A 23250-nucleotide genomic window follows, 5' to 3' on the forward strand; every position below is an offset into this window, starting at 1 on the left:
GAACCAAATCAGTAGCACCTTAATCTTGGACTTCCAGCCTCCAGAGCTGTCAGAAATAAATTGCTTTTGTTTAAGCTATCCAATGCTTGACATTTTTTTTATGGCAACCAAATTTACTAAGACACTCTTCTAGTGTTATCTTTGTAAATTTGGAGATATATGTCATCTTTATTAATTCATAACTTTTAGTATCAACTATTCTTACATCATGAAAGATTAGATATTTAGTCTTGATAGATCAAATATTCAACAATATGAATTCTAGTTTTGGAATTCTCCATTAAAGGTGCAATTGATTGGATTTGTCATCATGTTTTTTTAAGGATGAATAGGTACTATATGCACTAAGAATACATACTTTAAGAATAGCTTTCTTTCGTCTTTTATGTGAAGAATAAATTGACTACATGCATAAGTTTGGAGTCTGACTTTTCCTTCTCAGAATTATCTATATATTTCTTCACTGTGTTCTTCCATTGAAAATAACTATTTGGGGAAATCTGAGGTCAGTCTATTTTTCTTCTTCTAAGTAACTTGGCTTTTTTCTCACATTTTAATCTTTAACGTTTTGAACACCATCAGGACTTCAAATATTTTTTTCTTCCATGCTGAATTTTCTTAACTTGCTTTTCTATATATTTTATTCTCTCCAAAACTTTTTTTTTACTTCTTCATTTTGCTTATGTGATCTTTTTAAAGCTGTTCTTCTTACATTGAATCTATTTCCAGCAATCTCTATTTTTATTCCTGCTGCTTCTATTGTGGTTTTCATTTCTGTAACAGTTCTATTGTTATCTTGAATTTTCTTAATCTTCCAACTCACTTTTAACCTTTTTAACTTGTCTTAAAAAAATTTTTTTTGGCTGCATGTGTGGTGGCTTATGCCTATAATTCCAGTGCTTTGAGAGGCTGAGGTGGGAGGATCACTTGAATCCAGGAGTTTGAGATCAGCCTGGGCAACATAGTGAGACCCCACAGTGAGACAAACATTTTTTAAAAATAGCCAAGTGTAGTGGTGCGTGCCTGTAGTTCCAGCTACTTCCAAGGCTGAGATGGCTTAAGTCTGGGAGATTGAGGCTGCAGTGAGCCATGATTATCACCATACTCCAGCTGGGGTGGCAGAGTGAGACCGTGTTTCAAAAACAAACAAACAAAAAACAAAATAAGTAATCTCCTCTGTGATTTTTTCCCCAGTGTCCATGTTTTTCTTTAATTTCTTTAACACTGTAGATTACAATAATTTGAAATTTTTTTTGATGCTTGGAACAATTTTTATCTTGAAATGTATTTTAGTATTATGATATTTATTTACTTTCTCCCATTTTTTTCTCTCTCTCCCTCTCTGAGTAGCAGTGACAGAGGTGAGGGTAGTATTTATGTGCAGCACTGAACATTTTGGGCTTATAAGTCATCTTTGAAAGAGGGAAATTCCATTCAGGTCTATAATGATTTTCATGAACAGAGTGTCCAGATGCTAGAGAGCACAGAGGGTTAGATGGAAACTTCAGCGCAAGTCTGTTTCCTTAGAACAGTTTGTCAGCACATTGCTGAGTCATCTGCCCTTGGGGGCATTCCTTAATATCCTCCAGTCTTTACTCAGCCACATCCCTGGGTGGGAGCCTTTATGTCCCACAGGCCCCTTGTTTGGTGATGTGTATTTGCCTGTGTTTTTTCAGATGACTGTGTTCCACAGCTGCATAACTGTGTACCACTTGTCCCAGGATGTGTGTTCCCCATTTCTCAGGGTAAGTCAACATGATTATATATATCCAGACTCTTCCAATTTCTCTCTTGTCTAATTTTGTTTTTATTCCCTTTTTTCTGTACATCATTTCCATCCATCATTTTTCCTTCTTTGCCTGTTCATTTGAGTGCATAATGTAGAGATAATCATTCCTGTGACATATGGGCTCAAATGCCAAAATTTAATCACCTGTACTCCTAACTTTCCCATCCACTTTTTTTTATAGACCATGTGTTTTCTATTTTATGCAGTTTGCCTGGATTTTACACCATCTCCCAAATTCCCAGATGGATCTTAATATTTGCCTTAAAATATACAAGCGTTTTTGTGTCTCATCTTCATTTTCACATCATGCCTAAGACATGAAATTTTATTTGCTCTGCTTAAGTTTATAGTTTCGAAGAATCCTAAGATTATTAGTTTATAGGAACTATAAGCTTATAGTTCGTAAGAGCCCTAAGAATCCCCAAGTTGTCAAAAATTGAGTATAATACAATTGTTTCCACAGAATCAGTGGTAGAGAAAGGGAGTTAAGAGATGTACTATTTGATACTTGATGTTTATAGACATTTTCTCATAAAGAATTTGTATTAATATTTTAAATGAATGTATTTTATGTTTTTCTAGGTAAAAGTCTTATCAAATAATAATTTGTAAAATGATAAAAACATAATTCTCCTTCAAGTATATAAAGTGTAGAGTCAGTGCATACCTAACATTAAAAATTATTTTTATTTTTATTATTATTATTATTCTTGATGGACAAATCATACCTAACATTAATGAGGGAATCGGCAAGATGACAAATGTGATTCAAAGGAGAATGTAAGGGTCTTATGTAGATATGGTCAGTGAAAGAAAGGCTGCTGGAATATGATGTCTAAGTTAGATGAAAAGAAGAGGTTAATACTTTACCTGACAATACAGCCCTAACCTCTGGAGTTTTTAATTTTTTAATTTTTTAAAATAAAAAACAGCTTTAAAGAGGTATAATTGATATAAAATAAGTGTGCATATTTAAAATTTACATTTAATACTCTACTGACATTTGTATGCACTTATGGAACCATCATCATAACCAAGATAATGATCATACACATCATCCCCAAAAGTTTTCTCATTTCCCTTTGGAATCACTCCCTCTCACCATGTCCCATGCACCCACATCCATAGACAGCCACTGGTCTGTTTTCTGCCACTATAAGTTAAATAGCATTTTGTAGAAATTTATAAAAATAAAAGATGAGTATACACATTGGTTTTGATCTGAATTCTTTCTATCAGCAAAATTATTTTGAAATGTATCCACATTGTAGCCCCTATCAATAGTTTACACCTTTTTTTTTACTGCTGAGTTGTATTTCATTTCATGCATGTAACACAATTTGCTTAATGTATTTACCTTTTGATGATATCCATTCAGCTGAGTATTAATTAATCAATCCATTCAGCTGAGGAAATTACCCAAGACCAGTGAGTGAACTATCTAGAAATGTAAAGGTACCAGTGTTTGGTGTTCACAAAGGGCTGGGGATGGTGCCTTTCCTAATCATCCAGACTGAAAATACACATTCAAAAAATGTTAGGCACGTTACACAGAACTGTCTTGCTTCAATGGTAGGGAATAATTATCCCTCAACTAAATATTATATTATTCAAATAGAAAGGCAATATATTATGACCAAGTGGGATGTATTTTAGGAATGCAAGGTTGGCTTAACATTCAGAAACCTGTAAAATACTCCCACTTCCATTTCCATGAAGGTAAAGTGGATGTGCTTTTTCTTGTCTATCAACTTATACACACGCCAATGCTCATTTCAAGAAATAAAAAGACTCTCAAGGGAGGAGTAAAAAAAAAGACCAGCTATTAATAGGTACCTCAGTCTAAGTAGCAATATGGTGGTGAACTCCTGAGTTTACTTTTACCTCATATATCAGAATGGATGTTGGCAAAGTTGGCAGTACAATGATGCCAACAAGTTCAGACAAAAATAGTCCAAACAAAAACCTACTCTTGCTAGCCAAAACACCAGAAAAGGAGCAGCCTCACAAGATATTAAACTTTTAGACTGTAATTGCTCAATTCCAATCAAAAAACACAGAAAACACTTGATCCCATCCCCACCTACACCAGCAAAGGCCAAGGACCCCAAACTCCTAACCTCATGAAGTAACAAGGTGTTCCAAACACCCCTATCCCCAATTTCTTCATCCTGGTTGGTATCAGAGCAGCTGGAGTTAAGAGTCAAGACTTTCATCCCCGCCCAACAGTAAGACACCTCCTGCTTCCATGCTGTCAGTGGCCACCATGCCAGGAAATTGAATTTCTATCCTCATAGTCTGTAATAAGAGTGTAAGAATAGAAATGCTGCAGGAACAAATATGTATTCAAATAAGTAATGGCTGAAAATATACCAAATTTGGCAAAAGACTTAAACTACAGATTCAAGAAGTGAAATAAACTCCAAACGAGATCAACACCAGGACACATCATACTAAAGCTTCTGAAAACTAGAAACAAAGAAACAAAGAAAAAATATTGAAAGCAGCAAAAGAGAAAGGATGTCTTACCTACAGAGGAAAGACAGTCTAAATGACAATGAGTTTTCCATTAGAAACCAAGGAGGCAAGAAGGAAGGGTCACAACATTTTGTAAGCGCAGAAAGAACAGAATTGTTAGTACAGAATATTATATCTTTTAAGGATGAAGGGGAAATCAGGACACTCTCAAATGAAGAAAACCTAAGGGAATCTGCTGCCAACAGACCAACCCCAAAAGAATAACTAAAGGAAGTTATTTAACCCATTTCCTCTTTGCCCTGAGAATACTCTTCTCTCTAATCCTAACGTGACATCATAGACATTTCTGTTACATTAGTATTAGAGACAAGTTCTGTTTAGAAGTAACTGCAAAAACAGTTTTTATATTTCATTTTCACATTGAAAATCAGTCAGATTTGACTCAGCCTCAAAGAGCATGTAAAATTAAATGAGTGCTGGCAGTGAGCTGCATTTTTTTTTCTAAAGGGAAATGGGTTAAACATAAAGGAAATTATAAAATAAGAAATCTTGGGAGCTTGGAAGCAGAGACTGGGCTATTATCAGACTCTAAACCAGCTGGCACCTTGATCTTGGACATCTAGTCTCCAGAACTGTCTGGGAGAGAAAATGGCAGAGAGGAGGCAAGACTAACTTTCAACTCCCACTCAGATGGACAGAGCAGTGTGTGGAGACACACATTGTGAAATTTTGCTCCAAGACCTGCCACAGGAACATACCAGGAATGCTGAGAGAATCCAAAGACCCTTTGAAGGAGGTGGGTTGCTGCTGCAGGCTCCATGGGACAGCTGTGGAATTCTGATGTGCTCTTGAAAGTGCCACGCCCTGGCTGGAGGCCAACGAACACAAAACCAGTGCACTAAACAAAAATACAACCACATACCCTCACAGAGTCCACTTCACTCCCCAGCTACCTCCACCAGGTGCTGGTATCCATAGCTGAGAGAGCTAAAGATGGATCACATCACAGGACTCTTTGCAGACACTCCCTCCTCAGTACCAATCCAGAGCCTGGTAGTTCTATTGGGTGGCTAGATCCAGTGGAGAAATAACAATGGCTGCAGTTAGGCTGTCAGGAAACCCCATTCCTAGAAGAAGGGGAAGAGCACCATATCAAGGGAGCACCCTGTGGGACAAAAGAATCTGAACAGCAACACTTGAGTCACAGATCTTCCCTCTGACATAGTCTGCCAAAATGAGAAAGAGCTGGAAAAACAATTCTGGTAATATGACAAAACAAGGTTTTAACACCCCCAAAACATCAAGACAAAAATCTCAGAATTGCCAGAAAAAGAATTAGAAGGTTGACTATTAAGCCAATTAAGGAGGCACCAGAGAAAGGTGAAGTCCAACTGAAAGAAATCAAAAAGAAAATACAGGATATAAATGGGAAAATCTTTAGTGAAATAGATAGCATAAATTAAAAAAAATCACAACTTTTGGAAATGAAGAACACACTTGGAGAATTGCAAAATGCACTGGAAACTCTCAGCAATAGAATCAAAAAGTAGAAGAAAGAACTTCAGAGCTCAAAGGCAAGGCTTTTGAATTAATCCAATCCAACAAAGACAAGGAAAAAAAAAACAACAATAAAAAATGAACAAAGCCTCCAAGAAGATTGGGACTATGTTAAATGGCCGAACCTAAGAATAATTGTTTTCCCGAGGAAGAAGAGAAATCTAAAATTTTGGAAAACATATTTGAGGGAATAATAGATGAAAACTTCCCCAGCATTGCTAGAGATTTAGACATCCAAATACAGGAAGCTCAAAGAACACCTGGGAAACTCACTGCAAAAAGATGATCGCCTAGGCACACAGTCATCAGGTTATCTAAAATAAAGATGAAGGAAAGAATCTTAAGAGCTGTGAGGCAAAAACATCAGGTAACTTATAAAGGAAGCTCTATCAGACTAACAGCAGATTTCTCAGCAGAAACTCTACAAGCTAGAAGAGATTGGGATCCTGCCTTTAGCCTCCTTAAACAGAACAATTATCAGCCAGGAATTTTGTATTCAGTGAAACTAAGCTTCATAATGAAGGAAAAATACAGTCATTTTCAAGCAAACAAATGTGAAGATAATTCACCACTACCAAGCCAGCACTACAAGAACTGCTAAAAGGACCTCTAAATCTTGAAACAAATCCTAAAATACACCAAAATAGAACATCTTTACAGCATAAATCTCACAGGACTTATAAAAGAAAAACACAATGAAAAACCCAAGGTATTCAGGCAACAAATAGCACAATTAATAGCATAGTACCTCACATCTCAATACTAATGTTAAATGTAAATGGCCTAAATACTCCACTTAAAAGATACAGAATGGCAGAATGGATAAGAATTCAACAACCAATTATCTGCTATTTTCAAGAGACTCACCTAACACATAAGGACTCACATAAACTTAAGGTAAAGGGTTGGAAAAAGCTATTCCATGCAAATGGACACCAAAAGCAAGCAGAAGTAACTATTCTTATATCAAACAAAACAGACTTTAAAGCAACAGCAGTTAAAAAAGACAAAGAGGGATCTTGTGTAATGATAAAAGGACTAGTCCAGCAGGAAAATATCACAATCCTAAATATATGTGCACCTGACACTGGAGCTCCCAGATTTACAAAACAATTACTACTAGACCCAAGAAATGAGATAGACCGCAACACAATAATAGTGGGGGACTTCAATACTCCACTGACAACACTAGACAGGTATCAAGATAGAAAGTCAACAAAGAAATGATGAACTTAAACTATATCCTGGAACAAATGAACTTAACAGATATTTATAGAACATTCTATCAAATAGCTGCAGAATATACCTTCTATTTATGAAATATTCTCCAAGGTAGATAATATGATAGGCCACAAAACAAGTCTCAATAAATTTGAGAAAATTGAAATTATACCAAGTACTTTCTCAGACTACAGTGGAATAAAATTAGAAATCAACTCCAAAAGAAACTCTCAAAACCATGCAACTACACAGAAACCAATAACCTGCTCCTGAATGATCACTGAGTTAACAATAAAATCAAGATGGAAGTTAAAAAATTCTTTGAACTGAGCAATAATAGTGACACAACTATCAAAACCTCTGGGATACAGCAAAGGCAGTGCTAAGAGGTAAGTTTGTAGCATTAAATGCCTACATCAAAAAGTCTGAAAGAATACAGACAATCTAAGGTCACACATCAAGGAACTAGAAAAACAAGAACAAACCAACCTCAAACCCAGCAGAAGAAAAGAAATAACCAAGATCAGAGCAGAACTATATGAAATGAAATTGAAACAAAAAAATACAAAGATTAATGAAACAAAAAACTGGCTCTTTTAAAAGATAAATAAAATTGATAGACTGTTAATGAGATTGACCAAGAAAAGAAAAGAGATGATCCTAATAAGCTCAATTAGAAAAGGAACAGGAGGTATTACAGCCAATACTACAGAGATACAAAAGATCAATCAAGGGTACTATGAACACCTTTATGTGTGTAAACCAGAAAGCCTAGAGGAGACTAATAAATTCCTGGAAATATACAACCCTCCTAGATTAAACCAGGAATAGAAACTCTGAACAAACCAGTAACAAGCAGCAAGATTGAAATGGTAATTTAAAAAATTACCAACAAAAAAAGTCCAGGGCTAGAGGAATTCACAGTTGAATTCTATCAAAAATTCAAAGGAGAATTGGTACCAGTCCTATTGAGACTATTCCAAAAGATAGAGAAAGAGGAAATCCTCCCTAAGTCATTCTATGAAGCCAGTATCACCCAAATACCAAAACTAGGAAAGGACATAACCAAAAAGAAAGCTACAGACCAATATCCCTGATGAACATAGATGCAAAAATTCTTAAGAAAATACTAGCTAACATCATCCAACAACATATAAAAAAGATAATCCACCATGATCAAGTGGGTTTTAAACCAGGGATGCAGGAATGGTTTAACATATGCAAGTCAATAAATGTGGTACACCATATAAACAGAACTTAAAACAAAAATCACATGATCATCTCAATAGATGCAGAAAAAGCATTTGACAAAATCCAGCATCTCCTCATCATTAAAACCCTCAGCAAAATAGAAGGAGATAATAAAAGCCATTTATGACAAACCCGCAACCAACATTATACTGAATGGGGAAAAGTTGAAAGTTGAAAGTTTTTCCTCTGAGAACTGGAACAAGACAAGGTTGACCACTTTCACTACTTCTATTCAACATAGCACTGGAAGTCCTAGACAGAGCAATCAAACGAGAGAAAGAAATAAAGAACATCGAAATCGGTAAAGAGGAAGTCAAACTGTCGCTATTTGCTGATGACATACTCGTATACATAGAAAACCCTATAGACTCATCCAAAAAGCTCCTAGAACTGGCAAATGAATTCAGTAAAGCTTCAGGATACAAAATTAATGTACACTAATAAGTAGCTCTGCTATACACCAACAGCAACCAAGCTCAGAATCAAATCAAGAACTCAACCCCTTTTGCAATAGCTTCAATAAAAAAATATTCTTAGAAATATACTTAACAAAGGAGGTGAAAGACCTCTACAAGGAAAACTATGAAGCACTGATGAAAGAAATCATAAACAACACAAACAAATGGAAACACATTCTATGCTCTTGGATGGGTAGAATCAGTATTGTGAAAATGACCGTACTGCCAAAAGCAATCTACAAATTCAATGCAATTCCCATCAAAATACCACCATCATTCTTCACAGAACTAGAAAAAAAAACCTCTAAAATTCATATGGAACAAAAAGAGGCCCACATAGCCAAAGCAGGACTAAGCAAAAGGAAAAAATCTGGAGGCATTACATTACCTAACTGACTTCAAACTATTCTATAAGGCCATAGTCATCAAAACAGCATGGTACTGGTATAAAAATAGGCACATAGACCAATGGAACAGAATAGAGAACGCAGAAATAAACCCAAATACTTACAGCCAACTGATCTTTGACAAAGCAAACAAAAACATAAAGTGTGGAAAGGACACCCTATTCAACAAATGGTGCTGGGATAACTGGCAAGCCAAGTGTAGAAGAATGAAACTGGATCCTCATCTCTCATCTTATACAAAACTCAACTCAAAATGGATCAAAGACAAATCTAAGACCTGAAATCATAAAAATTTTAAAAAATTATATTGGAAAAATCCTTCTAGACATTGGCTTATGCAAAAACTTCATGACCAAGAACCCGAAAGCAAATGCAACAAAAACAAAGATAAATAGATGGGACTTAATAAAACTGAAAAGCTTCTGCACAGCAAAAGAAACAGTGGAGTAAACAGATAACCCACAGAGTGGGAGAAATCTTTGCAATCTATACATCTGACAAAGGACTAATATCCAGAATTTACAAGGAATTCAAACAAATCAGCAAGGAATAAACAAAGAATCCCATCAAAAAGTGGGCTAAGGACATGAATTATCAAATGAATTCTCAAATGAAGATATACAAATGGCCAATAAACATATTAAAAAATGCTCAATATTACTAATTATCAGGAAAATGTAAATCAAAACCACAATGTGATATCACTTTACTCCTGCAAGAATGGCCATAAAAAAAAAAGATGTTGGCATGGATGTGGTGAAAAGGGAACACTTTTACACTGCTGGTGGGAATGCAAATTAGTACAATCACTATGGAAAAGAGTGTGGAGATTCCTCAAAGAACTAAAAGTAGATCTACTATTTGATCCAGCAATCCCACTCCTGGGTATCTACCCAGAGGAAAAGAAGTCATTTACAAAAAAGAGACTTGTACATGTACGTTTGTAGCAGCACAATTGGCAATTGCAAAAATATGGAACCAGCCCAAATGCCCATCAATCAATGAGTGGATAAAGAAAATGTGATTTTATATATATATACACACACACACACACACACACACGATATATATATATATATACACACACCATGGAATACTAATCAACCATAAAAAGGAATAAAATAATTGGAAATAATGGCATTTGCAGCTACCTGGATGGAATTGGAGACCATTATTCTAAGTGAAGAAATGGAAAAACAAACATCATATGTTCTCATTCATAAGTGGGAGCTAAGGTATGAGGACACAAAGTTATAAGAATGATACAATTGACTTTGGGGACTCGGGAAAGGGTGGGAGGAAAATAAGGAATAAAAGACTACACATTGGGTACAGTGTTCACTGCTCGGGTGGGTGCACCAAAATCTTAGAATTCACCACTAAAGAACTTATTCGTGTAACCAAACACCACCTGTTCCCTCAAAACCAATTGAAATAAAACAAAGAAGAAGAAAAAAAAGAAATCTTGAGCTGTCAGGATGGAAAAAAGAACAAAGTGAAATTACAAGTAAATACAATAGACTTTCCTTCTCCTTCAATTCTCTAAATTAAGTTTGATGGCTGAAAGAAAATTCTAATGCTATCTGATGTGGTTCTAAATGTTTCTGGAAAAAATTTAAAACAATTGTATTATAAGTGGGAGAGGGTAAAGGACATAAAGGTAGATATACTTTCTATATTTTGTCTACTTACCAGTAGACTGATAAGTTTTCTGTATATATTGTAATATGTAAAGCAACCACTAAAAAAGCTATACAAAGAAATACACTCTAAAACACTGTAGATAAATAAAAATAAAATTATAAAAACATTCAAATAACCCACAATGATATATAAAAAAGAAAACAGTTAAAGGGAAAGCAGAATAAGCAGAAAATGATAAAGTAGAATGGCTGAGTTAAGCCCTAACATATCAGCAGATTACATTAAATGTCAATTGTTTATATATGTCAATTAAAAAATAAAAGTTGGCAAAGTAGATTAAAAACATGACACATTATCTACAAGAAACTCACTACAAATAGAATGATACAGGCAGGTTGAAAGTAAAAGGGTGAAGATATATATATCATATAAACATTAATTGAAACACAACAGGAGTAGCAAACATTAATTAAAAAACCCCAGTAGTGGCTATATTAATATCATATAAAGTAGGCTTCAGAGTACATAAATATGCCAGAGACAGAGAAGGATATTATGTAATGACAAAATAGTCAATCACCAAGCAGTCATAGCAACCCTAAATGTTTATGCAGTAAATATGACAGCAACAAAATATGCCGAGAAAAAAAAACTAATTTAAAGTATAAGAAAACTAAAAAAGAACTGAAAAGAGAAACACATAAGTCCATAAGTATAATTGGAGACTTTACCACCACTCTCCTAACAACTAATCCAATTAGACAAAAATCAGCAAAGACAGAAAACTCAAAAGTGCCATGAACAAATATCTAATTGGCATTATTAAATACTCCATCCAACAACACAGTTCTATTCAAGCACCCATGAAACATACTTAGATCATATAAAACAAACCTTGATAAATTTAAAGTTATTGAAATCACACCAAGTGTTTTTTGTCCACAGTGGAATCAAACTACAACTCCACAACAGAAAGATAACAAGAAAATCTTCAAACGTGGAATTTAACAGTATACTTTTTTTTTTTCTTCAGAGACAGCGTCTTGCTCAGTCACCCAGGCTGGAGTGCAGTGGCATGGTTATGGCTCACTGCAACCTCAAACTCCTGGGCTCAAGCAATCCTCCTACCTCAGCCTCCTGTGTAGCTAGGACTACAAGTGCATGCCACAAGGCCTGGCTTTTTTTTTTTTTTTTTTTACTTTTTGTAGAGATGGAGTCTCGCTGTACTGCTCAGATTGGTTTTGAACTCCTGGCCTCAAGCGATCCTCCCAACTCAGCTTCCCAAAGCACTAGGATTACAGGCATGAGCCATTGTGCCCAACCCCTAACAGCATACTTTAATTCATGGTCAAAGAGGAAGTATCTGAAGGGAAATTTTGAGAAACACACTGAATTGAATGAAAACGAAAATGCAACATATCAAAAAATTGGTGTAACACAGCTAAAGTATGGTTTAGTGAAAGGAAAATTTATAGCACTTAATGTACACATTAGAGAAGTATAAAGTCTTCTGCCTCAAGAACACAGAAAATAAAGAGCCAAAAAACTCAAAGCATGCCAATGGAAGGAAATAATAAGGATAAAAGCAGAAATGAAAACAGTAAGACAATGAATCCTACCAATGAAACTAAGAGCTGATTCTTTGAAAATATCAATACATTTGACAAATTTCTAATAAGGCCAACAGAAAAAAGAGAAACAAAAGAAACAAGTGACCAATATCGGCAATGAACAACAAATATCACTACAGATATCAAAAGGATAAGGGAGGACTATGAGTAAATCTACACATACAAATTTGACAAACATTTATGAAATGGGCCAAATCCTAATAAAGTAAAATCCATCACAACTCACACAACATAGAAAATGACTATTTGAATAGCATTATAACTATTAAATAGATTCTATAATGTAATAATTCCAAAAATGAAATTTACAGTTCCAGATGGTTTCAGTGGAGAATTCTGCCACATGTTTAAAGATGTAATACCAATTCTACACAAACTCCTCCAGAAAATAGAAAAGGAGGGGACACTTTCCAATTAATTTTATGAAGCTACTCTTACCCTGATCCTAAAACTAGTAAAGGCAATACAAAAAATAAAACTACACAATATCCGTTATGAGTATAGATACAATATCAAGAAAATTCTATTTGCTGGCAAATAGAATCCAGCAAATATAAAAGGAGTGTATATTATCAACAAGTAGGGTTTATGCCAGGGATGCAATGCTAACTCGATATTCAAAATTAATCAGTGTAAACCACAATAATAACAGACTAAAGAATAAAAATCACAGATGATATCAATCAAGACAGAAAAAGCATTTCACCAAATTCAATACCTATGCATGACAAATACTGTCAGAAAAATGGGAATAAAGGACACCTTTCTAAACTTGGTAAAGAACATCTATAAAAAATACAGCTAACAGTACACTTAATGGTATACTGTTATACCAAAGACTGAATGCTTCCCCCTAAGATTGGCAACAAGGCAAAGATGATCACTCTCACCATCACTATACAACATAGTCATGGAATTTCTAGCCAGTGCAATGAGGAAAGGAAGGAAATAAAAGGCATATGATCAGAAAGGAAGACAGAAAACTGTATTTCTTTTTAAATAACATGGTTGTCTCTGTGGAAAATCTCAAAAAATCTAAAACAACAACAAAAAACTCCAAAAACTACAACTAAGTGTATTTAATAATGTCTTATAATACAAATTTAGCACTCAAAATTTAGCTGTATTTCTATGTACTAGTGATGAACATATAGACACCCAAATTAAAAATACAATACGATTTCCAATTGCTCAAAAAGAAAATGAAGTACCTAGATATAAATATAACTAACATGTACAGGACTCATATGCTGGAAGCTGCAGAATGTTGATGAAGGAAATCAAAGAAGGTCTAAATGAATGGAGAGGCATACCATGTTCATGGATTGGAAGACTCAATATAATGAGGATGTCAGTTGTCCACAAATTGATATTCCAATTTAATGAAATTCCTTTCAAAATCCTAGCCAGGTTTTTAAATAAATATAGACAAGATAATCTAAAATTTATACAGAAAGGCAATATAACTAAAATAGCTAAAATACTTTTGAGAAAAATGGAAAGAATCAGTCTACTCAATTCTGAGACTTATTACATAGCTACAATAACCAAAAGTGCATGCTATCAGCAGAGGAATGTACACATAGATCAATGAAACAGTAGAAAACTTAAAAATAGATGGGAGGGAAATGTGAGTGGCTAATAAAAGGCAGCAGGAGGGATCCTTATTTGATGGAAATGTTTTGTATCTTCATTCTATCAATGTCAATGTCCTGATTTAATATTATACTATAAATTTGCAAGATGTTACCATTGGGGGAAACCAGGTTAAGGGTACACCGAATCTCTCTATATTGTTTTTTACATCTTCACGTGAATCTACAAGTATCTCAAAAGACAAGTATCTCAGAGTCTAATTAAATATAATTACCTCAATAGACACAGAAAATGCATTTGACAAAATACAACATCCATTAAGGATAGAATCTCTCAACAAGCTAAAAGAGAAGAGAATTTCCTTAACTTCATAAAGGACATCTATGAAAAACACAGTTTACATACATAATGATGAAAAACTGAATGCTTCTCACCTAAGATCGATATGTCCTTTCCTTAGGACCCCTTACTGCAGGACTTCTGACACACCCTGTCATAATTTTTGCCCATTTTTCTAGCAGAGCACAAAGCCAATCAAATAAGGGAGTTCTATTCAGATCTTCTTTTCCTTCCATATTCAGATAATAGTTCCTGACAATAATCTATTATTACCATCTGCTAAATGCAAATTATTTCCTTAATTAATTGTTCATATTTTGAAAACAGGTATAGTGGGAGACTTGTATGAAAAATATGTTTTTATTAAAAAAATTTCTTAGATCCAAAGGAATACTAATTTTTTATGCATAGTAAGTCAAAAGGTTTGTGAAAGATTAAGTATGAGAATCATTTTATTTATGGTTAATTCTAAATCAAAAGGGTAATGGGCTATTTTATTTTGTTCTAAGATTAACCTTCTTCAGTACTTTAAGAATTGGATATATTCTGTATGCTGTGATTATTAAGGAAATTCATAAAAAAAAGGGAGAATGGAAAAATATTGATAGTCATAATTAGACTTTATCAATACAACCTAATAATTATTTGATGTTCTAGTGAACAGTAGCTCGTAGGCTTATTGTTTCCTATTATTTACTGCCAGAGTTGGTAAGGTTAGATGTTAACTTAATACAAAATTCACAAGTTACCAATAATTTTTGCCACTGAGTATGAAAATGACTTCTATGTGGTGGAAATGATTACCCCAAAGTTGCATTTTTTCCCATTGAATGTGTGCATGTGCATTTGTATGCATCCTCATATCCTCCTTTGAAAGAGCTTTGCCATGCTTCGTGTATTAGTTTTCTCCTTAATGAGTTAAATAAATGTGATCTTTTGACACATTCTTAATATATGAGGGTCAGGTGTTCAGAGGTTTGAAAACTAAGCTTTGATATAAAGGAAAAAAGAGGATTTAGCACATGTGGGGCTGTGAGCCTTCACATAGAGCTAGCATGGAGAGGATTGGCCTCAGGCCAGCCTGTGGCCATTCTGCTCTAAGGGGCAACATTAGCCCATATGCTTGCTAATGCTTTTATTTATATTTATTGTGTATCCGTTATATATACAGAATGTGCTAGGAGTTGCAACTGTAATTTTGGTTACTTTAATAAGAATATCTTCTGTTAAAATTTTTCTCTCTCTCTTTTTTTTTTGCTTCTCCTGGACAACTCTGATTCATGGGCTTAAATTATCTTAGTATGCTAATTATACTGGAGGACTGGGAGCATATACTAGACTGTGACATCCTGAAAATTCGTGAGTGTCCCTGTTGAGTGAAAATGGTACATTGACTGTGTTGTGTGCAGAAGAAATATTGAGGCTGGCAGAGTGTTTATTTCTCTACTTGATTGAAAGTAGATTTCTGTAACGGAGCTATTTGCTCAAGAGTTTGAACCTCTAAACCCAATTCTAGAAACTTAGGGATTTTTTTAAAAAGGAACACAGATTGGGGGACAGAGCAAGAGGTGGAAAAGAAATCTCCACTGATCATCACCCCCAGCAAGAACATCAATTTAACAACTATCCACACACAATAAAACCACTTTCATAAGAACCAAAAATCAGGTAAGCACTCACATTACCTGGTTTTAACCACATATTGCTGAAAAAGGCACTGAAGAGGTAGGAAAAACAGTCTTGAATCACTAATGCCACTACTCCCTCATCCCTTTAGTTGTGGTGGCGTGGTGTAGAGAGCAGCTTTGTGCTCTGGGGAGAGGGAGAGCATAGCAATTATGAGACATTGAACTCAGTGTTGCCCTGTTATATGAAAAAAACAAAACTAGACCAAACTCAGCTGACACCTGCCCACCAAAGAGCATTTAAACCAGCCATAGCCATTAGGGAATCACTGATCTCAGCCGTCTGAACTTGAATTCCCACAAGCCTCATCACTATGGGCTAAAGTGTTCTAGGGCTGTAAATAAATGTGAAAGGCAGTCTAGGCCACAAGGTCTGCAACTCCTAGGTGTGCTGAACTGGACCCAGAGCCAGCAGACTAAGTGGGGGGGCATAAAAAATATGATTATTTCAACAGATGCTGAAAAAGCGTCTGATAAAATTCAACATCCCTTCATGATAAACACCCTCAAAAAACTGGGTATAAAATGAACATACCTCAACATAATAAAAACCATTTATGACAGACTTACAGGTAGTATCATACTGAATGAGAAAAAAACTGAAAACCCTTTCTCTAAGGTCAAGAACACTACAAGGATGCCCACTTTCACCACTGTTATTTACGTAGTACTAGAAGCCCTAGCTAGAGCAATCAGACAAGAGAAATTAATAAAGGGCATCCAAACTTGAAAGGAAAAAGTCAAATTATTTTTGTTTGCAGATGATACAATCTTATATTTGGAAAATTCTTGTTTGCAGATGATACAATGTTACATTTGGAAAACCACAAAACACTGTTAGAACCAATAAACAAATTCAGTAAAGTTGCAGGATACAAAACCAACATATAAAAATCAGTAGCATTTCTATATGCCAACAGTGAACAATCAGAAAAAGAAATTTAAAATGTAATCCCATTTACAATAGCCACAAATAAAACTAAATACCTAGGAACTAACTTAATCAAAGAGGTAAAAGATATTTATAATGAAAACTATAAAACACTGATGAAAGAAATTGAAGAGGACACACACACACACACACACACACACACACAGAGGAAAGACATTCCATGTTCATGGATTGGAAAAATCAATATTGTTAAAATGTCCATACTACCCAAAGCAATCTACAAATTCAATGCAATCCCTATCAAAATACCAATGACATTTTTCAAAGAAATAGAAAAAACGATTTTAAAATTTATATGGAATGACGAAAGACCCAGAATAGTCAGAGCTATCTTAAACAAAAAACAAAACAAAACAAAACTGGAGGAATCACATTACCTGAAATCAAATTATACTACAGAGTTATAGTAACCAAAACAGCATGATACTAGCATGAGAACAGACATATAGACCAATGGAAGAGAATAGAGAACCCAGAAACAAATTCATACACCTATAGTGAACTCATTGTCAACAAAGATGCCAAGAACATACATTGGGAAAAAGATAGTCTCTTTGATAAATAGTGCTGGGAAAACTGAATATCCATATGTAGAAGAATGAAACTAGACCCCATCTCTCATAATAAAAAAAATCAAAATGGATTAAAGACTTAAATCTAAGACCTCAAATTATAAAACTACTGCAAGAAAACATTGGGGAAACTCTCCAGGACATTGGTCTGGGCAAAAGTATCTTGAGTAATACCCTACAGACACAGGCAACCAAAACAAAAATGGACAAATGGGATCACATCAAGTAAAAAAGTTTCTGCACAGCAAAGGGAACAATCAACAAAGTAAAGAGACAATCCACAGAGTGGGAGAAAATATTTGAAAATTACTCAGGATATATACACAAAACAAAGGAAATCATTTATTAAAGAGATATCTGCACTCGCATGTTTGTTGCAGCACTGTTCACAACGCCAAAATTTGAAAACCTAGCTGAGTGTCCATCAACAGATGAATGGATAAAGAGAATGTGGTACATATATACAATGGAGTACTATTTAGCCATAAAAAATGAGATCCTGTCATTTGCAACAAAGTGGACTGAACCAGAGGTCATTATGTTAAGTGAAATAAGCCAGGCAAAGAAAGACAGACATCACATGTTCTCGTTTATTTATGGGGTCTAAAAATCAAAACAATTGAACTCACAGAGATAGAGAGTAGGATGGTTACCAGAGGCTGGGAAGGGTAGTGAGGGGAACAAGGTAGGTGGGGCTGGTTAATATGTACAAAAAAATAGTTTAAAAGAATGAATAAGATCTAGAATTTGCTAGCACAACAGGGTGACTATAGTCAATACTAATTTAATTATACATTTTTAAATAACTAAAAGTATAATTGGATTGTAACAAAGAATAGACACTTGAGGGGATGGACACCCCATTTTCCATGATGTGATTATTATGCATTGCAAGCTTGTATCAAAACATTTCATGTACTTGATAAATATATATACCTACTGTGTACCCACTAAAATAAAATTAAAACAAAAAAACACAATATATAAGCTTAAACATTTTTAAAATTGGTCTCAGTAACATATATTAAGCTGAAGTGGGGAATAGTCTCTGAACATTAGAAACATTAGAAAGTTATGGCTTGTTTCTAATATGCAAGTTAGACAGAAAATACAAGCTCCATAATCTTATATTGCGGAAGCAACATTTGTTTTAAGTCCTGGAATCCACGGCCTCCATTTCCTCATCTTGTGTTAATGGAATTGTATCTGCAGCCAGAGAAAGAGGTTTCTAGTTAGTGAATATTGGCAAAGATTCTAGGAAAGTTTGAGTTTTACTGATGAAAGAGTGGAATGTAGACAAGATTCCAACTGGAGTAGCCCAGGAAAAGAGCTTGTCAGATAAAGCTGAAAGGTAAATTCCTTATCTGCTTGTCTAATGGGACTAGGTATGATATTTATGCCCTTAATACCTTATAACCATCAGTTCAGTACCAGAAATGCATGAAACTCTGTTTTTTAGTTTTTTTAAGTTTGTATTAACAAATAGAGACATTAAAAGACACACATCATCTCTTGAGGCTTGACTAGCCATTCATCTCCACTGCCATGAGAAATCACCTGCCACCTGCACCTGCACCTCCTTCTGTGCAAAAGCACCTTTGTTTGGCAGAAGACCCTCAAGAATCCAGGAAAAAGTCTTCTTCCTCTAAACCCAGTTGAATTCCTAAATCAATACAATGCAAAATCCATTGGTTAAAAAGAACATGAATGAGATAATTTTTTCCTACTCATGGGTCGCACCCCGAGGGACTTGCTCTGGCTTCCAACCCTCGTGGGGAGGCAGCAGCCCTGGTTAGTGGGTGGGCTCCGTGGCTCCTCTTGTGCTGTTGGGTCAGCACAGCAGCTGGAAGCCAGAGGGTCACCTGTCCTTTTGTACCAGCGAAGGTTCATTTTCCTCAGTGTTTCCCCAAGGGCAGGAACATATTTTTACTGATGACCAATTCAGTTTTTCCAGAGGTCCATGTGTTTCTGAATTCAGAATTTTAGAATCCAGTAAAGTTCATATTGTCAAATAACTTATTTAAAGAGTTAGGGAAAGACTTGGGGAAAGACTTTCCAATCTCTCACTTCACTTCCAGTGTGAGATGTTATTTATATATGCAAAACTGGGAGGTATATATGTATATACACATCTAATAAGAATAACTTGAGTTGAGCAACCCTAAGATGCTACCATTTGTTTCATCCTTTTTAAATGTGCGTAGCCCCTCTCCAAACACACATAAGCAGTTTGAGGCAGGGACCATATTTTGTACTTTTTGCCTTCAAAGAGCATGATCCATAGCAGGAGCTACTAATGAGTGTTCGATCATCATAATGATGAATTAAATATAGATATTTTGTCATTCGTATTTTATTCATTTATTTTTGGAGATGGAATCTTGCTCTGCTGCCCAGGCTAGAGTGCAGTGGTGTGATCTTGGCTCACTGCAACCTCCGCCTCCCAGGTTCAAGCGATTCTCCTGTTCAGCCGCCCGAGTAGCTGGGGTTACAGGTGCCCACCACTATGCCTGGATAATTTTTGTATTTTTGGTAGAGACAGTGTTTCGCCATGTTGGCCAGGGTGGTCTCAAACTCCTGACCTCAGGTGATCCACCCAAGTTGGCTTCCGAAAGTGCTGGCATTACAGGTGTAAGCCACCTTGCCTGGCCTATTTTGTCATTTTAAAAATGTATTTCTCTACCTTCAGGTGGAGTCACAGATCTCAGTGGTCACCCCCAAGTGGAGAAGCTGTGCGATGCTGATGGCCTCTAGGGGGTGAGGCCACTGGGAACCAAGCCCTCCCCTGCAGCCCAGCGCTGTGTCCGCTGCAGCATGGGATCCTCGGGGCACTGGCTGGGGACATCTGAAGAGGTTATTGCTTCGCTGGCATGGACGGCAAGGGTCACACTGCCCAGCTGTGAGTTGCCCCTCAAGCAGCACCCTGTCGCCATTCCAGAGGAATGTTCCAGAGGAAACAAGGAACTGAGCTTAGCTCATCTCTGGTCTCTCCTCCCAGGAAGGACTTTTGTGAGGCCTGTTTTGTCCCCCACTGCCCGGCCATAGCCAAGTCCCTAAATGGACCTTCTTTGAAGGAAGAACCCAGCTACTCAACGCCCACCCTGTTCCCAGCCCCTGGTTTTGATGAAAATGCAGTCGTGCCCATGAAACTAGGAATCTGTGGGGTTTTTTAAAACTGCAGTGAGAGACAAAGAGCTGCTTCTCTTTGTCAACCAGGCTTCCCCCCTCCAGACATTTGCTTCTGCTTAGAGATATTATGAGCCGGAAAATTCACAAGGCCAAATCAGAGACAGGGGAAATTCCTCTGAGGGTTGGTGAATGGAATATAAATCCTGCTCTGATGTGGAAAACTAAGTTGCTGCTCAGTCATTATTCCTGTCAGCATTCCAGGGCCAGTCCTTGTCATTAAAGCTGCACTTTCATCCTGTCCACACACTCAAGGCCACACAAAAATAAGGGACTGCCCAACACTAAACTTCTTTTATTTTTTGAGGGAAGGGGGCACTCCTCTTTAGGGAAACAATATGTTTAAGTCAAGCAAAGAAGTTAAAAGTATGAAAACCATCTATGTGCATTTTCCTTTTCTCCATCTCCCCCCATCCACTCTTTCAACCTTCAGCGCTAATTTCTTGTTACCAACCTTGCACTAATACAATGCGACATTCTCAGGCCTGGAATTTGGTCTTTCAAAGCTGGTTCTGCTCCAAGTCCTCTGTGACCTTTCATTACTTTCTTCCACACCCCCTTATCTGAGCTGTCCATGTCTAAATGGAACCTACAGTTCCCAGAGAGAAGACAGAGAGAAAGAGAGACAGAAATAAAGAAGAGAGGGAGAAATAAAGGGAGGGAGGGAGTGACATAGAAGAGTCAAGGAGAAAGAGAGAGGGAGAGAGAGAAAAAGAAAGAGACAGAGAGGGAAGGAGAGAGAGAAAGAGTCAAAGAGAGAGGCAGAGAGAAGAAAGAAGGGAAGAAGAGAGGAAGAGAGAGAGGCAGATGGAGAGAGAGGGAGAGGAAGACACTGAGAAAGAGTCAAAAGCAGATAGCGGTGTGGGGAGAGAGAGAGAGAGAGAGAGAGAGAGAGAGAGAGAGAGAGAGAGAGAGAACCGAGAGGACCAGGCTGACTTGAGTGTCTCCTGCTGTGATCCAGCTCTGGAGGCCACACAGCATCGCTTCTACTGCATTCCACCCCACCCCATCTAAGGCAGTCACCAAGATTCAAGAGACAGAGAGTGGGAGAGTGAAACAAAGAGAGAGAGAGGGGGAGAGAGATAGAGAGAGAGAGAGAGAGAGAAAGAGGAAGAAGAAAGAAGAAGAAGAGGAAGAAGAAGAAGGAAGAAGAAGGAAGAAAGAAGAAAGAAGAAGAAAGGGAGGGAGAGAGGCAGAAAGAGACAGAGACAGAGCAGCGAGGCAGAATGAGAGACAGAGAGAGAGACACAGAGAGACAAAGTGAGAGAGTGAGAGAAAGACAGAGACAGAGAGAAAGAGACAGAAAGCAGAAAAGCAAAGGAGAGAAAGAGTGACAGAGAGAGAGAGTGAGAGAGAGAAAGAGAGAGAGGACATACACTGGCAAATCCCAGTTTCCTGTGGGAGAGGGGAAAGCAGAGCCGGTGTGTCTGGAATTACTCTTCTTCCCCAATCTATAATCCTTTTTCATGTTTTGATTAGAAACACTGTTGAGATGGAGCACCTATGAGAGGTCGTTCTCCTGGCATGGTCACAGCCTCATCTGGGCAGCTCTTGGCTCTTGGGCTCCTGCCCCGGGGCGGATCTTCATGAAGCACTCACGCTGTTGCCAGGAGGGGTCTGTCCAGCTGCATCATGCACCTGAGGACCCTTGTGCTTGCGGGGTGTGCATTCTCACTGCTAGTCCCGAGGGAGCAGAGAGCCCCACCGGCCCTGCTTCATTCTCCTTGTCCTGGCCATGCAAATGCGCTTCTCAGGAGGACCAGGAGCTGCCGAGGAAGGGGAGTCTGATCGGTGCAGTGATCAGGGACTCCAGGCTCACACAGTTTTCCCTGGAGAGCCCGAGAGGCAGGGAGTCTCTTACATTCCAGAAGAGAAAGAGGGACCATTCAGGATGGCAGGTTCAAGGATGAAGAGTTTTCTGTTTCTCAAAGCTTTTGGGGGATGACAGTTATGATTTTCATTCTTTAACATACGTTCAAACGTGGGCAACATGGATAAATATGCATTGCCACTATCACTTCATGAGTGACTTGAGAACTTTGGAATTAGGCAGAAGTTATGGCCCCCAAAACTGCTATTTTCTTTCTAATTAGACAATACAAGTACTTGAGGAATTAATTTGCTGTTTGCTTTCAGCGCTGACACATGAACAGTGAAAGGGGTCAAATTGTGCTGCGGCCATCTCCCCATCTCCTCCCCTCGCCTGACCTTGACCCGCCTGTGACCTTGGCTCTGTTGGCACCGTGCTAAGCCAATTACACTCACTCGGTGGCTCAGCCACATACCACAGTATCAGGCAGTCACAGCAAAGGAGTGGCTTTAGAATATGTGAAGGATCACCCCTGTAAATATGATTATCTTTCCTGGGCAGGAGAAACTGGAAGTTCATGTGTTACTGATGGCCACCTGGCGTCTCTGCACATAAGTGCAGGGCCATTATTGAGGATGGGAGAAGTTGTCACTATGACTAAGAGACTGTGGCTC

At 37.0% G+C, this 23250-nt stretch overlaps 1 long non-coding RNA gene across 1 annotated transcript in view; it reads left to right on the forward strand.

Moving 5' to 3' along the window:
- The first annotated feature begins 1674 nt into the window (after window positions 1–1674).
- The window catches only part of LOC124902205 (uncharacterized), a 75065-nt gene continuing 53489 nt past the window's right edge, over window positions 1675–23250 (forward strand). The window contains exon 1 of the long non-coding RNA XR_007061654.1: window positions 1675–1745. This is a non-coding gene — a long non-coding RNA (uncharacterized LOC124902205). The remainder of the gene's footprint in view (window positions 1746–23250) is intronic.

This window comes from Homo sapiens, chromosome 9 (genome assembly GCF_000001405.40).
Source record: "Homo sapiens chromosome 9, GRCh38.p14 Primary Assembly".
Classification (NCBI taxonomy): domain Eukaryota; kingdom Metazoa; phylum Chordata; class Mammalia; order Primates; family Hominidae; genus Homo; species Homo sapiens.